Here is an 18,103-nt window from a genome sequence, read left to right on the forward strand (position 1 = left end):
CCAGCATTTACTGACAATAACAGGTGTGTTCCATCTTCTGTTCTGTGGCATAATTTGGGCTCTTATTCTCACCTGAGTCTTGAGCCTGGCTTTCCTGGAAATTCTGTGACTTGTCCAAGTTCCTTTCAATAAATTGCTTTTTTGCTTAAATTATAATTTTTATTGTTTGCAACTAAGAATGCTAACCCACAAATAAGAGCTACCACTGAATTAAACTGTAGATGGTTTTTCATTTACAATCGTTTCACCTTAATAACATATTCACATACAAACCACTAAAAACTACTGAATGTTTTGCAGCACTGACTATCATATTTATATGGTTTTTCTTCATCATCATACTCTTAAAGACGAAGACTAGAAGGAACTCTGGGCTCTGTCTAGGCCACTTCCCTCAATGTGGGGAAATTGACACTCAAAGAGGTGATTTCTCATTCCAGCAAATGAATCTCATTTCTAAGGATGATTTCTGGTAACTTCTCCTACTAAATCTAAACCATCCCAAATTGAAGGCCTATCTCTTCTCATGCTGAAAATTTATTTTGGAAATGTTATAAGTTACCTTTCTATTCCACTATGCAAACCACCAAAGGAAATAAGAATACTGAGCCTAAAACCAATTCTATGCAAACATCACTAGTTTTGCTTGTTATTCCGCCCAGGTTTGGCATCTGTTTATCCATTTACTTAATCAAAACCATATTTTCTGAATTTGTTAATGAGCATGTTGATGGGAAGGAAGAAATCAAAAGACTTAAGGAGGCATCTGGTATGAGAGAAGGAAGTAGCTCACACTTCCTTCACAAGCTGGTGCTAAAAATGTTTAAAAATCACATGAACCAACATTCCTTACAGCCCCTCCCCACGTCCCCAATATCACTAATGCACATGAATGGAGAATACCCATCTGAATCCAAACGCATGCCCTGGTGTGTGGATTCAAACAAAAAATTCCTCCCCCCACCCTCAGCCCCCCACATAGCCTGTGGTTTCACTTATATGACAGTGACTGCTGGGGAGGGATTGCATGCCAAGTGTACTGGAGATTTGTAGGGTATCTGAAGGGCCTCTTTCCTATGTTTATGATATTCCCCATCATATAGGTCTTAGTGGAAGAACCTGATCCTTGATTTACCATCCCTGGAAATTTTGGCTCATGTGTGTAACTCAATCTTGGCCAATCAGATGCTCCTGCCCAAGATTTTAAATCTGGAATGAGCAAAGCAAAAAAGCTGGAATGGTCAAGCAGCATGGGAGAGCACAGCTTATAAGTGCCCCTCAGGGCATTCCTATTCATATGTGTTAAAAACACACATGGTTTTTGAGTTCACCTAAAATTATCTCCAGTTCCTTGGCAAATATGTTAGCCACCCTGAATTTTTTTTTTTTTTTGAGATGGAGTCTCACTCTGTCGCCCAGGCTAGAGTGCAGTGGCACAATCTCAGCTCACTGCAAGCTCTGCCTCCCAGGTTCACACCATTCTCCTGCCTCAGCCTCTCAAGTAGCTGGGACTACAGGCGCCTGCCACCACGCCCGGCTAATTTTTTTTTTTTTTTTTTTGTATTTCTAGTAGAGACAGGGTTTCACCATGTTAGCCAGGGTGGTCTCGATCTCCTGACCTCATGATCTGCCGCCTTGGCCTCCCAAAGTGCTGGGATTACAGGCATGAGCCACCATGCCTGGCCAACCTGAAATATTTTTAAGTGGATAAATACATTGAGTTTTCCTCTTTTCCTTCCCTCCTTCCTTCCCTCCTTCCTTCCTTCCTTCCCTTCTTCTTCTTTTCTCTTTCTTTCCTTTTCTTTTTTCTTTCTTTCTTTCTTTCTTTCTTTCTTTCTTTCTTTCTTTCTTTCTTTCTTTCTTTTTCTCTCTCTTTCTTTCTTGAGACAGGGTGTTACTCTGCCACCTAGGCTGGAGTGCAGTGGTGTGATCACAGCTCATTGCAGCCTCAACCTCCTGGCCTCAAATGATCCTCTCACCTCAGCCTCCAAGGTAGCTGGGACCACAGACACGCACCACTGTGCTCAGCTAATTTTTTAATTTTTTTTTTTTTTTGGAGATGGGGGTCTCAGTATGTTGCCCAGGCTTCCTCTCTTTCTTGAGCTGCTCTAGGATACGTCTTCTCCATAAAGTTATTTCAGTTTGTTAATGATTTCCTGCTTCCTTCTACTTCCATATCACTGAGATGAAGCTGTCATGACAAAGTTGATACTCATATCCCCAAATGTATACAGCTCTTCTATGTTATTTAGGATTACGTTCAACTGTGAGAAACAGAAAATCCCCAAATAACCGTGGCTTAGACCAAAAGGTAAATTTGTTTCCTTCTCACATTTTTAAATGGAGTCCAGAGGCAGCTGCCCAAGGCGGGTATGGCACCTCCGTGATCGTCAAGACTGGGGCTCCATCTGTATTACTACTCCTCCACCTTAGCATGCTCCCTCGTGTTTCAGAATGGCTGCTTGAGTGCCAGTGATCACATCTGCATGGCATTCAGCAGAAGAGATAAAGAACTCTTTCTTTAAGGACACTTAAATTTTTTGACATCCTTGAGTCATAGGGACATCTTTAAAAGTTACACAGTACTCCTCCTTACACCTCATTGGACAAGGCATGGTCAAACCTCATCAGTAAAATGGAGACTGTAACACCTACTTCATAGTGTTATTATACAGATTAAATGAGATTTTAAAAAATATATGGCAGATTAAAGTCAGCTACAAGTTCTTGGATGTCCCTCCCATTGAGAGGTGAGGACTGTGTCTGTTCCTCCTTGACTCTGGATGAACTCTGCAACTGCTTTGACTAGTAGACTACGGCAGAAGTGATGCTGTGGTCCCCGCTCAGCACTGCTTCATGTTGGAGGACAACCCAGTCACCCTTTGTTGAGTGACTTTCTGAGGCTTAGTATTACAACACAAGTTTGAATTATTCTTCCTTTCTTGTAATTTCTTAGACTGAGTTAGAAAAATATCCATATTTATACTCGATTTCCACTCTTGGAACACTTGCTTTTGGAAGCCAGCTGCCATCTAAGTATGACTACTCTGAAACCGCCGTGCTGTGAGGAACCCGAGCCATGTAGAGACTGCGGCCAAGAAGCACCGAGGTGCCAAACGTGTGAGTGAAGAAACCATCTTGGAACTCCATCATCTAGCAGCTGTCTTAGTGGATACCATGTAGATCCTAGACAAATTGCCCAGCTAAGATCTTTCCAAATTCCTGACCCACCAAATCATGAGCAAAATAAAACAGTTGTTTGAAGTCACTGAGTTTGGGGGCCAGTTTGTTCTGCAGCAATAGGTGATGGAACATTATACGAAGCGTGTGGTGGGCACCCAGCTATGGCGCTGGCCCTGACTCGGGGTTAGCAGGAGCACTCCCATGAATCCTGGGGAGCTCTGCAGCAGGCACATGCCTCCTGTGAAAAACAATGGACATTAATAAGGAAACACATCTATTACACTATCAAAATTTTACATTGTAATTATTTTCATAAGAGTAATTTGATTTAATCGGCTTCTTTTATAACACCGTGTATTGGCCGGGCGCGGTGGCTCACACCTGTAATCCCAGCACTTTGGGAGGCTGAGGCAGGCGGATTGTGAGGTCAGGAGATCAAGACCATCCTGGCTAACAGGGTGAAAGCCCGTCTCTACTAAAAATACAAAAAATTTAGCCGGGTGTGGTGGCGGGCGCCTGTAGTCCCAGCTACTCGGGAGGCTGAGGCAGGAGAATGGCGTGAACCCGGGAGGCGGAGCTTGCAGTGAGCCGAGATTGCACCACTGCACTCCAGCCTGGGCGACAGAGCAAGACTCCGTCTCAAAAAAAAAAAAAAAAAAACCCGTGTATTTTACTTTATCCAGTTGAAAACCTCATGCTGAGATTGGGTCTATAGACTTCACTAAACTTCCAAGAAAATTCATAACAAAAGAAAGGAATCAGAAAAAAAAAAAAAGAAATTAGGAATCCCTGCTGGGGATGTCAGAGCCACCAGATGAAAGGAACTTAGATCCCTGGATAATTGCATAAAACAGGGTCCCCTCCCTACAATGCTCCCCACCTACTTAGAGTGGACTGTGATATGAGTTTATAATATGCTTTTATTCTGTTAAGTCACTGAGATTTTGGAGTTATATTGTTTAGCCTACTCTTCCTAGTGCAGTGTGTCTAATTATAGAAGAATACATTTATACCCACCCAAAAAAGCCTACCAAAAAGCCGAATATGAGAACAGAAGTTTAGCTATGTTCATATAAAAAGACAAGAGTGGCTCTGGAAGACAGACTGTAACCTGTCTCATAGACGACCTCAGCCTGGGGCCGTGCTGCTCCAGAGTCCCTCCTGGCCCTGGCTGCACTCTCTCCCCTGATGCAGTCTCTTGGGCTCCTGATCTGTTCCTTACAGCTGACCCTTTGCCTGTTCTAGGCGTCTTCCAGGTTTTCTGAGGGCCACTACTGTTCAGTGTTGAGCCCTCACTGCCTTCAAGCACTGGCATCTGCCCCTCTTTGGCTCTGTTTGGTCTCCTTGGCTTCACCCTGAGCCTCATTCTTGGCCATGGCCAAGCTTTCCTGGTCTGGCTCCCATCCAGCACCCAGTGCCCCCTGCCCAATATCGCCTGATGCTCAAGCATAACCCAGTCACCTTTGGTTGAATGACCTTCTGAGGGTTAGTACAACGCTAGTTTGAATTATTTTTCCTTTCCCCTAATTTCTTTGAGCAGACTAAGTTAGAAAAATATCCATATGTAGGCTGGGCGCGGTGGCTCACGTCTGTAATCCCAGCACTTTTGGAGGCTGAGGCGGGCGGATCACAAGGTCAGGAGATCGAGACCATCCTGGCTAACACAGTGAAACCCCATCTCTACTAAAAATACAAAAAAAAAAAAAAAAATTAGCCGGGCATGGTGGTGGGTGCCTGTAGTTCCAGCTACTCAGGAGGCTGAGGCAGGAGAATGGTGTGAACCCGGGAGGCGGAGCTTGCAATGAGCTGAGATCTCGCGACAGCGCGAGACTCTGTCTTAAAAAAAAAAGAAAAGAAAGAAAAATATCCATATGTATACTCTCACCTATGCATGTTATCTATCATATATTACATGAAAGGAAAAAAGACTAATATTTATAGACACTTTAATATGTAAATATTATAAATGTGGTATCATATATAATTGATACTATAAATACAGTAAGTCAGTGTGTTAAACACTTTTTCATTTCATGAAATACCCTTTTGAGGGAGGATTTGTAGTTGCACATTTCCAAAGGAGAGAAAACATGAGACTCTGTAAGATTAAGTTATTGCCTAAGGTCACCTACCTACTGAGAAACAGAGCTGGGACTCTGAAATAGGTTTATCTTACCCAAAACCCATTCTCTTTTTGCTCTGAAACATTGACTCTGACCACCCTAAACTGGGCTATGATTATTCAAATAGGCATATAGAGTTCTAGGTGAGCCTGAGAGAAATACAAAATTTGAACGTACAGGATCTGTTCTGAGATCAGAATGTTTACAATTTCTCTTGACAACTTGAATCATGGAACATACATGTGTTCATCATTTGCCAATGACATTAACTTGAGCAGTGGTCAAAAATAATGATGATGACATTTAATAATGACAAAACTTCTAAACAAAAAATGCAAATACAAACTTTAGAGGGCTAATTCTAGTGAGCTTGGCTGAAAATATTTTCACCTTCATGGTAGGCAACAGGTTAATTGTGACTCAGCAAAACAGCCCTGATATTACATTCTGATGTTGGTGAGTGTTGAATATCGTGTTCTTGTTTTTTAAAAGTATGAATCCAGGAGTTATTTAGCAAAAGCATGACATGAGGAAACCATGACATCATATTTTCATCTTTCCATTCTTTTCAGCCCTGGTCAGGACTTCATCGGATTATGTGGCCAGTTTGGAGACACTCATTGTAAGTAATAACTCATTGGGCATAGTCCAGGGCAAAGCAATAAAAATGATTAGCTTGGGGTGAAGAGCCACAAGAACAAAGCCCAGGGGAGAAGATTTATGGAGAAGCAGAAAAGATAAGTGATGAGGATGAAAAATCAGGAACTTCAGTCCGGTAGCAGTAGTCACATGTGGACCAGAGATCATCTGCATCAGCATCACCTGAGATGCATGTGTGAATGTAGATCTGTGAGAAAATCCCACACCTACGAAACCAAATTTCTTTGGGGTGGTGGACAGGTGGAGGCAAGCCGCCCAAGGATAATGCACACTGAAATTGAGAAACTTTGTGCCTCAGCTGCACTTTGAAATCACCTGAAGACCCACCTCAGTGACTCTGATTAATTGGTCTGGGATGACCCCAGGGAATCAGACTTTTAAAAGATCCCCCAAGTGATTCTAATCTTCAGCCATCGTTGAGATGCTCTGCTCTGTGCTATCAGCAAGCAGCTATCCAACTTCCATTGAATATTCGAGAAATGGTCTTATTCTATTTGTGAAACACTTTAATTAGATAATTCCCTAGCATTCATAGTGAGTCACCTTTCCAAGATAAATGTATTTTATTTTTATAACAGTGATTTGTCTGCTCTGGCAATCAGTACCCTGAGTCTCAGAGTTATTGTGAACAAAAGTGTTATTATTTTCTCTAGATTCTGGAGACCACACTGTCCCTTTCAGTCTGGCTTTTCTCACAAGGTGGCTGTGAGGGATGACAAAAATAATTATAGAGTGCTTGTAAACCATGGTGTATGTCAGACCTGACATATGAATGAATGACCTGAGCCCCTTGGTCATAACTAGGTTTTCATCTTCAGCATCTTCATTCCAGGTGCTAAACCTAGTCATTGGGATTGAAGGCTATGACTGCAAGTTTATGTGAGAAACGTTTGATTAGGCTCAAGAGAACGTATACTTTCCCTGATGGGGAAATGCCCTGGTAGGGCAACTATTCCACAGCACAAGAGGGGAGATTACTGCTGCAGATATTAGTCATTTGTGCTTTAGATTAAATTTAAATCCATTACTGGGGATCCTTGCATTCTGAGCCCTTTCTGATGGTGTAACAATATTAACTGGCCCCTGAAAGTATTCAACTGAGTTTCTGGTAGAAGTTCTTCCCTTAAACTCTTGAAACTATACTTAAATAGCTGTCTTCTTTCTCTAGGGATGCATGATCTCGTACATTAGTTTTTTTTTTAATTGTGGTAAAATACACACAAAATTTACTATCTTTACCATTTTTAAGTGTGAAACTCAGTGGTGTTTTGTACATTCACATTGTTTCGCAACCAATCTCCAGGGCTGTTTTCATCTTGCAAAACTGAAACTCTATACCCATTAAACAACTCCCCATTTCTCCTCTCAGCTGCACATTAGCTTTTGAACACCAGAGTTATCAGTTTAATTTACTCTTTAGAAAGTTTCCTAAAACTTATTGGCCTACAAAGTTTTACTCTGGTGTTAGCCACCTTTGCCAATCCAATCTTAAAGTATTTTTTTTACCCCCACAGGTCCACATATCACTACGTTAAGACAACATGTATTTCAAAAACAAGTGTACTCTGGTTTACTTTAGTTAAAATGTCCATCCATTGGCTGGGCGTAGTCGCTTATGCTTGTAATCTCAGTACTTTGGGAGGCCGAGGCGGGCGGATCACGAGGTCAGAAGATGGAGACCATCCTGGCTAACACGGTGAAACCCGGTCTCTACCAAAAATACAAAAAATTTGCCGGGAGTGGTGGCGGGCGCCTGTAGTCCCAGCTACTCGGGAGCCTGAGGCAGGAGAATGGCGCGAACCCGGGAGGCGGAGCTTGCAGTGAGCCGAGATCGCGCCACTGCACTCCAGCCTGGGCGACAGAGCCAGACTCTGTCTCAAAAAAAAAAAAAAAAAAAAGTCCATCCATTTAAAAAAAAGAATTAAATGAGAGTACTCTAAACCTCTAAACTCAAGAGAATTTCTCTTGGGTAAAAATTTAAAATTTGATAATACCTCATCTAGAGAAATAGTAACTCTCAAATACTGTTAGTGGGAGAGAAAGCTCACTCAACAAATTAGATAATATCTATAAAATTTTAAAATGTTGACATTTCTTCACAGCTATTCAACGGCTAAGTCTTCACAGATATACTCACAAAAGTTAGAAACAACTTAAATGTTAGTCAATAGAGAACTGATTATATATTTATGGCACACTGTGTAATGAACTATTTTACAGCTGTTAAAAATAATCTGCTGTAAAAATCAAGTCTTTAAAAAATGATGTAATAGCTTTGTGTATGCTGATATGGGAAGATCTGTAAATATATTATTAAATATATAATATTAAATGAAAAAATCAATATACAATGGAATAGCATACCATTTGTGAAAAAAAATCTTACACACACACACACACACCCCAGCATATATCTTAGGGTATATGCTGGTATCCTGAGACATATTCTCTTTTATGCAAGGATAAACAGCAATTGTTAACAATTTCTCCTTTGGAGAAATAGGTTGGTCGTTAAGGAGAGGGGAAGGGAGGAACACATCTTTTTTCATTTACACCTCTCAGAACTTACTAATATTTGAATTTTTAAAAATATGTGTTTGTATTACTTTTAATTTTAAAAATGTTGACTGGGCACAGTGGCTCACACTTGTAATCCCAGCACTTTGGGAGGCCGAAGCAGGCAGATCATGAGGTCAGGAGCTTGAGACCATCCTGGCTAACACGGTGAAATCCCATCTCTACTAAAAATACAAAAAATTAGCCAGGCGTGGTGGCGGGTGCCTGTAGTCCCAGCTACTCGGGAGGCTGAGGCAGGAGAATGGCGTGAACCTGGGAGGTGGAGCTTGCAGTGAGCCGAGATGGTGCCACTGCACTCTAGCCTGGGTGACAGGGCGAGACTCTGTCTCAAAAATAAATAAATTAATTAATTAATATAATAAAAATATCAACAGAGTTATCTAGCCAATGGAATTGTGGACCATTTACATTTTACTCGTTATCATTTTCTCTATATAAAAGGTACATTTTAAAAGAAAATCTCTGTCCATTTGAAAGGCTAAATGAAACATAAAATTTTATTTCAAGCCTCACATGTTTGGGCAAATAACTATTCTCATGGCTAGTTTAGGTCACACAGTCTTCTGTGGTCTATATCTTTACAATGGAAAACCAAGCCAACCAAAGAAACCCGCTTTGTTTTCTTTTTTGACGAGAGAATAAATGACATTTACTAAAAATCCCCTCCGTTTTCTCCCTGGTGTTCTTTTCTACAGTCTTTGTAGGAGCTTTGTAATTTTATTTCCATGTTTGTTTTAAGCTTTAATGAAGGATTCATCATTTTCTATAGATTTTGCTTCGACAGTTTTGCTCAAAGGTTCTGTTGTTCCACTGAATAAAATATAACATCTATGAATCCCTCAGGGTCTGAGACACATGAAGGTTCTGTCTTGTAATAAGATTGCCTCTTTTTTTCTTCCAGTCCTGGGAGTTAAGCTTTGCTGCAAGTGAAAATATTCGCTTTTCTTGGGTTAAAGAGACACAGTCTTAATATTCCATATTCTGATACCCCGTGCAGTAGAGCAAGAGGTCTTCCCACCTCTGGGAACAAGCTCAAGCTTTCCATATAAATCATGCTCCAAAAGTTAGGTAAGAAAATATTTCCTTTTTTGTGTGGAATAGAAGGACAAGTGATATTAATTTTCTGGTTATTTTTGTTAACATTATGTTATCTGCTGGTTAGCTCTGTGAATGAACAGACATTAAGCGGTTATACAATTCAAAGCTGTGGTATAGTCAACAGATAAGATACACTGCTGTAACAAACCAGTTCTTAATGACTTTTTTAAAACTTGTTTTTGTCTGAGCATGGTGGCTCACACCTATAACCCTAGCATTTTGGGAGGCCGAGGCAGGCAGATTATTTGAGGTCAGGAGTTTGAGACCAGCCTGACCAGCATGGTGAAACCCCATCTCTACTAAAAATACAAAAAACCTAGCCAGGCATGGTGGCATATGCCTCTAGTCCCAGCTACTCTGGAAGCTGAGGCAGGAGAATTGCTTGAACCCGGGAGGTGGAGATTGCAGTGAGATGAGATTTGCTGCTGCACTCCAGCCTGGGGGACAGAGAAAGACTCTGTCTAAAAATAAATAAATAAATAAAAGTTTGTCTTTGTTTAAAATGTATTACTTTGAAAAACAATAGGCAAAACCCTAACTTACTTTTAGTTAGCAGCAGGTTAGACTTAGAAAAAAGTTCAGGCTACATCATATAATTTAAAAATGGATGTTCCTAATTGAACTCACCCCTACTATGTCCCAGTATGAAAATGCGGAATGTACTTACTTAGAATTGAGTAATATTCACTGGAAAACAAATTTCTGGCAAATGTACAAACTATGTGTGGTTCCCATAGAATTAAGCAAAAATAGATCTGGTTCAAAATGACAATAAAAATCCCCTGGGTCTGACAGATAAAAGATGGCTGGCACAATTTAAATTCCATTGCGAAGGCTAAAGTAAAATTATGAAACCTGATAGAGGCTGAGCCAGGAGGTTCGCTTGAGGCAAGAAGTTCGAGACCAGCCTGGGCAACATGGTGAGAACCCCATTTCTAAAAAAGCTTTTTACAAAATTAGCTGGGCATGGTGGTGGTCACCGGCAGTCCTAGCTACTCGAGAGGCTGAGGCAGGAGGATTGCTGGACCCCAGGAGTTTGAGGCTGCAGTGAGTTATGATTGCACCACGGTGCTCTAGCCCTGGCAACAAAGCAAGATCTTGTCTCTCAAAGAAAACAAACAAACAAAAAAAAGAAACCAAAAAATTATGGTAGCAAAGTAGAATCATTTCTCATTCTTTGTAGCTCTGGCAGCCTTCTTGGAACTGCCCTGGTGACTATGGCTTTGAATAAGAATTTAGGCTACTGACCACAGTGGAGAAAACAAAGGTTGCTTCTTCTTCTTCTATATTTTAGGGTTTTAAAAACCAGCAGTGGGCTGGCCAGATAACACAGTTATTAGGCATTGTGCTGATCACAGCAGAATCATACTTTATATACAACTTCTTATTTAATTTGTGCTAATGTTTCTAAAATGCCATCACATTGATCAGAAGTTTTTTTTCTTGCTATCAGATCCTAAAATAAGAATAATATAAGAATATATTGTTCTTTAAATTTGTTCACACAGGGATGAAGATGATCCCATTTTAAGGTTTTTAATTTATTTTGTATCCTAAAATACAGCATAGTCCCAAAGTACTTCCACTTTTCTGTAATTTTTACTCTTTTTAATATAAGAATTTGATTTAAAAACCATAGCTAAATGGTTATACAATTTTCGTATCTTTATAAGAATTTTTATATAATAAACTCAGTAATCAGGAAAAAAATTATTTATTCAGAATGTGTGTCTTAGAAAATATAGTCATTTTAGGCCAGGTGCGGTGGCTTACACCTGTAATCCCAGCACTTTGGGAGGCTGAGGCAGGAGGGTGGCTTGAGGTTAGGAGTTCAAGACCAGCCTGGGCAAAATGGTGAAACCCTATCTCTACTAAAAATACAAAAAATCAGCCGGGTGTGGTGTTACATGCGTGTAGTCCCAGCTACTCGAGAGGCTGAGGCACAAGAATCACTTGAACTCGGGAGGTGGAGGCTGCAGTTAGCCAAGATCACACCACTGCACTCAAGCTTGGGTGACAGAGCTAGACTCTGTCTAAAAAATATATATATATATATGATATATATTTTATATATATATATATCATATATAAATATATTTATATATGATATATATCATATATATAAAATATATATGATATATATCATATATATATAAATATATATATATATATACACACACACACATATATATAGTCATTTTAAATATAGTAAAGATTCCAACGTGCCTATTTGTTCTCAGGGAAGAGTCTCCTAAGAGACATTCAAAGAAAATGGTTCTAGTAAAGAAGGCATGAAATGTTAGTAGCTGGTGTGCTCATAAGAATGGTTGGTTGGAGTTATTCTCCACTCCCCAACCCTTTCTAAAAGAGACAGAGAGAGAGAGAGCGAGAGAGAGAGAAAAAGCCCTGCTAGCTGCTGGCTCTAGGTCAAGATCCTCGCCTCAGTGGACTTTGAATGGCCACAGAGGTATCACAGAGCCATGGCTGGTGTCAGGGAAATTGTCTCATTAAAAGTATCACAATTCTTTTGACATCACTATAATATGTTTTCAGAATGGCATTGTTGGCTGGGCGCGGTGGCTCACACCTGTAATCCCAGCACTTTGGGAGGCCAAGGGGGGCGGATCACGAGGTCAGGAGATCAAGACCATCCTGGCTAACACGGTGAAACCCTGTCTCTACTAAAAATACAAAAAATTAGCTGGGCGTGGTGGCACGCGCCTGTAGTCCCAGCTACTTGGGAGGCTGAGGGAAGAGAATGGCTTGAACCCAGGAGGTGGAGGTTGCAGCGAGCCAAGATCACGCCACTGCACTCCAGCCTGGGTAACAGAACGAGACTCTGTCTAAAAAACAAACACACACACACACAAACAAAAAAACAGCATTGTTGGTGAGATGCGATGTGACAGTAGAAAGAACACGGATTTTGATATTAGACAGATCCAAACTCATACTTTGGGTCCACTTTTTTTCCAGCAATATCACCTTGTGCAAGTCATTTTCTCTGTTTAACCCTCTATTTCTGCATCTGTTAAAAAAAAAAGTGTATTTGAACCTTTTCAATTCTAAGTTACTAAAAATGTGCCAGTATTTCAAAAAGCCAAAATTCACCTCCAAAAAAGCTTATGTAACGTATTTCAACACCCATAACCAATGCCAAGACATATTGGCAATGTCAACACACAGAGCAATACCTTTACTGATGCTCACTACTATTTATCAGGAAACAGATTAGTGCTTCTATGCATTTGTTTTTATTTGAAGTTTTCCTATGAAACTTGTGATACACTAATATCACCCGCATTATACAGGTGAAGCAGGTGAGACAAAAAGGTTAATAAATGCCTTCCTGAAAGTTCATTATTCAATCAACAGCAACATTGGCAGAGAATTGTCTCCTACTCTCCTCCCCCATTTGAAACAGAACATTTCTGTCTCAAAATGAAGGACTAGTGTACATTTGAGGCCTAACTGAATAGCTGAATAAATAGTAGCTACCATTATTATTGTTACTGTCAATATAATTTCCTTCCCCTTAGAGTTGATTATTTCCTTCTTTCCGTTCCAAAAACATTTTATTCAAATGTCTGTAATGGCATTTATTGTAAACCATATTCCCTCAAAAACAATGTGACTTCTAATTTTTCAACCTGAAGCATCCACAGTGTCAGTTACGGGGTAGGATTATAACATTAGAAAGAACAGGTGTCCTTGATTGTTAGGTTTGTCAGGGAAATAGAGAAACGGTGTGCAGAGATTTTGATACAACGACTCCATGCAATCTGCACACTCCTTTTGGGGGGCTCCCTCTGATGTTAGTTGACAAGCTTCACAAGGATGCAAAGTAAGACAAATTAGTCCATGATATACAATTAGGGGGGACATTACTATGAAGAAAGTCTTGCATTTTCCGAATAAATAATGGAAGGAGGGCAGTTTCATATTTAATGTTGCATTGGTATTCCTTACTGTAATTTATGTAATACAATTTTTCTATTTGCTTTCCTTTTTCTTTGAGATAGAGTCTTGCTCTGTCCCCTAGGTTGGAGTAGAGTGGCGCTATCTCGGGTCACTGCAACCTCTGCCTCCCGGGTTCAAGCGATTATCATGCCTCAGCCTCCCAAGTAGCTGGGACTACAGGCATGCACCACCACACCTGGCTAATTTTTGCATTTTTAGTAGAGACGGGGTTTCGCCATGTTGACCAGGCTGGTCTCGAACTCCTGACCTCAAGTGATCCACCCACCTCCGCCTCACAAAGTGCTGGGATTACAGGCATAAGCCACCGCACCCAGCCCATTTGCTTTCTTTATAGCAATCATCCTGAGGAAAGGCAGAGACCCTCTTTGGCAAGGACCTCTCTCCCAGGTATGATGCCTCCACCCTGTCCAAAGGTAGGCTTCAGCTTGGGAACTGTTGTATAATTGCTGTAAAGTTACATTGGCCCCAAATCTTTTTTTTTTTTTTTTTTTTTTTTTTGAGACGGAGTCTCGCTCTGTCGCCCAGGCTGGAGTGCAGTGGCACTATCTCAGCTCACTGCAAGCTCCACCTCCCGGGTTCACGCCATTCTCCTGCCTCAGCCTCCCGAGTAGCTGGGACTACAGGCGCCTGCCACCACGCCCAGCTAATTTTTTGTATTTTTAGTGGAGATGGGGTTTCACCATCTTGGCCAGGCTGGTCTTGAACTCCTGACCTCGAGGTCCACCCACCTCGACCTCCCAAAGTGCTGGGATTACAGGTGTTAGCCACTGCACCCGCCCCCAGCTGTGATTTCTGAAGTGGCTGTAAGAGAGATGTCTACCGTGTTAGCAGGAACCCTTCAGGTCTACCATGTTATGAGGGAGAGGGACGGCCGGGCGCGGTGGCTCACGCCTGTAATCCCAGCACTTTGGGAGGCTGAGGTGGGTGGATCACGAGGTCAGGAGATCGAGACCATCCTGGCTAACGCGGTGAAACCCCATCTCTACTAAAAATATTTTTTAAAAAAATTAGCCGGGCATGGTGGCTGGTGCCTGCAGTCCCAGCTACTCGGGAGGCTGAGGCAGGAGAATGGCGTGAACCTGGGAGGCGGAGCTTGCAGTGAGCCAAGCCTGGGCGACAGAGTGAGACTCCGCCTCAAAAAATAAATAAATAAAAATAAAAAATAAAAAGGAGAGGGACAATTATGTAGAATGGGCGACGTTTGGCTTGCTGCCCAAATACCTCCCCACTGGGCTAGCTGATGCTTGCAATTCTGTATGCAGTGTTTCATTCCTTAGTTCCCTAATGAAAATACCCCTGAGAAAGAAAACACATGGAACCTTTTTCGTTATTTGCTTTTTCTGCTTCTTTGGAGAAACGAGTTGATTAAATTATTTCTTGACAACAGTTTAAAAAAGAGAATAAGGACTATTGAGTAAGGAGAAAACATAAGAGGGAAAAATCACTAGCTAGCTTCTCTTGAGCCATGTGTTGTAGCTAGGTCCCTCAGCCCTGAAAATGTCCTCACCGTGAACAGAAAAGCATTCTATAATGAGTCCTTCAAAGGAATTAGTGTGTTAGCTAGATGTGGAGATAAAAGGTCATTTTCTGCAAGTCCCCCATAACTGAAGGTTAGTAAATGCCTTCCTGAAAGTTCATTATTCAGTCAACTGTCTTTTCCTAAAAATTCTGACAATGACTCACATCGTAGAGGCTTTGGACAGATATCCCTATGAGATGTCTTAAATTCTTAGTGTGGTCATTCTACCTGAGGTAAGAGTGGAAGCTGTTTTTGCCAGAAACGCTGGAGATACGAGACCAGTTCATCTTCCATAACATTGTTCTTAAAAAAGTTTTCTGATAAATCCTTCAGAGCTGCTATTTTTCTCTCCTGCTGGTAGAGCCAGGGCTTTAAGGCCCAGAATCTCAGGCTGGCCTGCTTCCCCTTGTCTTTATCAGTGTGACTGCAGCAGCAGTTACAACAGTGGCAGCTTCGATAGCCTTCCCTATCTCGGTCCCTCTTCCCCTACTTCTAAACTTGGATGTGATCACAGCTTTTACTTTCAGAGACAACTATGGGAACATGACAGCTCAGGGTGTTATTTTACTGTAATGCAAAACTCATTCAGTGATACTTCCAGCAGTAAGGAAAAACAGTATTGCAATAGTTCCATCATAGTTGAAATTTCCATGCAGCTATGTGAGAAAGGCCACAAAAATGAAGGTGATACTTGCTTTTAAAAAAAAATACCTGGCTACTTATACATTGTTGGGAGTCAAAAAAATAAAAATAAAAAGGGAATTCAGTTTGTGTTTGAATCATGGTCCATATGAGATGTTCTGGGTTATAATCTTTAGCTAAAATATTTTTCTCATTTTGCTCAATATCTGTATGTAAACTAAGTTGACATGGTTCACAGAACATCTGGAACCTTTTATCTAGTTCTCAGCCATAATCTAGAACTGGCCTCCATTTTCCATGGGAACCAAGGAATGCTATGAATACTATGCAGCCTGACAGCTTTATACTGTCACGGGAAGCATGGCAGCTCAGGAAGCCCATGCAACTCCAGCCCACATTTCTCAGGGCTCCTTTCAAGTTCCCCTGCCTTGACTCCTATTGAGCTCTCTCCTTGAGTCACCCATCTTATTCTACCTTGGCTCTCTAGAAACACACACTTTCACGTATGACCCAGCTATCTCTAGATACTCTAAAAACTTTTTTTTTTTTTAATTTTAGACAGAGTTTCCCTTTTGTCACCCAGGCTGGAGTGCAATAGTGCAATCTCGGCTCACTGCAAGCTCCGCTTCCCCGGTTCAAGTGATTCTCCTGCCTCAGCCTCCCAAGTAGCTGGGATTACAGGTGTGCACCACTAGGCCCGGTTAATTTTTTTGTATTTTTAGTAGCGACGGGGTTTCACCATGTTGGCCAGGCTGGTCTCGAACTCCTGACCTCAGGTAATGCGCCTGGCTTGGCCTCCCAAAGTGCTGGTATTACAGGCGTAAGCCACAGTGCCCGGCCACTCTAAGAGCTTTATAGACATTTTCTTTCTTTTTTTTTTTTTTTTTTTTTTTTCTGAGATGGAGTTTTGCTTTCTTACCCAGGCTGGAGTGCAGAGGTGGGATCTCAGCTCACTGCAACCTCTGCCTCCTGAGTTCAAGTGATTCTTCTGCCTCAGCCTCCCTAGTAGCTGGGACCACAGGTGTGTGCCACCATGCCTGGCTAATTTTTGTATTTTTAGTAGAGATTGGGTTTCACCATGTTGGTCAGGCTGGTCTCGAACTCCTGACCTCAGGTGATCCACCCACCTCGGCCTCCCAAAGTGCTGGGATTACAAGCATGAGCCACTGCGCCTGGTCCTTTATAGACATTTTCTTATTCAATCTACAGCACCTCTAATAGACCCGTGGGAAACACAGTTTTATTATTACCACAAAGAAAACTAGGTGCACATAGTCTGAAATATTTGCACACAGCAAGCTGATAAAGCCGCTGAGAAGGAATCAAAGCCTAATCCATTAAAATATAATTACCTTTTTTTTGAGGACTCAAGATTTTTTTTGGTGTGCTGTGGTGAAAGTATGGGTAAATGCGGCTGGTCGCGGTGGCTCATCCCGGTAGTCTCAACACTTTGGGAGGCCGAGGAGGGTGGATCATGAGGTCAGGAGATCGAGACCATCCTGGCTAACATGGTGAAACCCCGGCTCTACTAAAAATACAAAAAATTAGCCGAGCGTGGTGGCGGGCGTCTGTAGTCCCAGCTACTCCGGAGGCTTAGGCAGGAGAATGGCGTGAACCCAGGAGGCGGAGCTTGCAGTGAGCCAAGACTGCGCCAAGACTGCGCCACTGCACTCCAGCCTGGGCGACAGAGCGAGACTCCATCTCAAAAAAAAAAAAAAAAAAAAAAAAAAAAAAAAAAAAAAAATCCTGGATAAATGCTACCAAGTGAATGGAAAAAAGGACTTTAACCTTTCTAAGAAAATTCAGCAGGCATTAGATTGTCACAATTAGAATTGGTTGTCTTTTCCAAATTTAGGTGACCTTTTTTAAGTGGAGCAACTGAAATCTAATTAAACACAAAGAAGTTGAGGTTTCACTCAAGAACCAATTTCTAAGTTCAGAGATCATTTCAATGCCAAGCTCCTGATTACTATAAACTGAAAAAATAATTAACAGAGGATTTTTAAAATGTTGGATGTGCATGCTAAAGTGTTTGATATATTCTCATCAAGTGTATCTTCGGTGATTTTATTAGCTACTTTTAGATATCAAAGAAGTATAAAAACTTGAAAAATAAAGTCATTGATAATGAATGCTGCAATCAATTTTTCCTGGCAGAACAAGTCATCAGATTATACAGGGAGATAAAAATGTTCAGTACCAGATTGTACTTTTCATTTATGACAAAAGAAGGGGTGCGGATCAACAACTGGCTTTATAGCCAATGTCAACACCAAGAACTCCACAGAGAGGATTAGCATAAGAAGATCTGTGAAGGATC

The 18,103-nt window shown here is 41.3% G+C and overlaps 1 annotated feature.

Annotated features, from left to right (window-relative positions):
- Nucleotides 15,053-15,819: a transcriptional cis regulatory region, noted in NCBI's record as "candidate enhancer chr7.4045 targeted for multiplex CRISPR interference". NCBI's record gives its function as "positively regulates PRKAR2B gene expression with high confidence in K562 cells {active_cell/tissue: K562}" and the evidence as "EXISTENCE:mutant phenotype evidence [ECO:0000015][PMID:30612741]".

The sequence above is a fragment of the Homo sapiens genome, chromosome 7 (assembly GCF_000001405.40).
Source record: "Homo sapiens chromosome 7, GRCh38.p14 Primary Assembly".
Classification (NCBI taxonomy): Eukaryota; Metazoa; Chordata; class Mammalia; order Primates; family Hominidae; genus Homo; species Homo sapiens.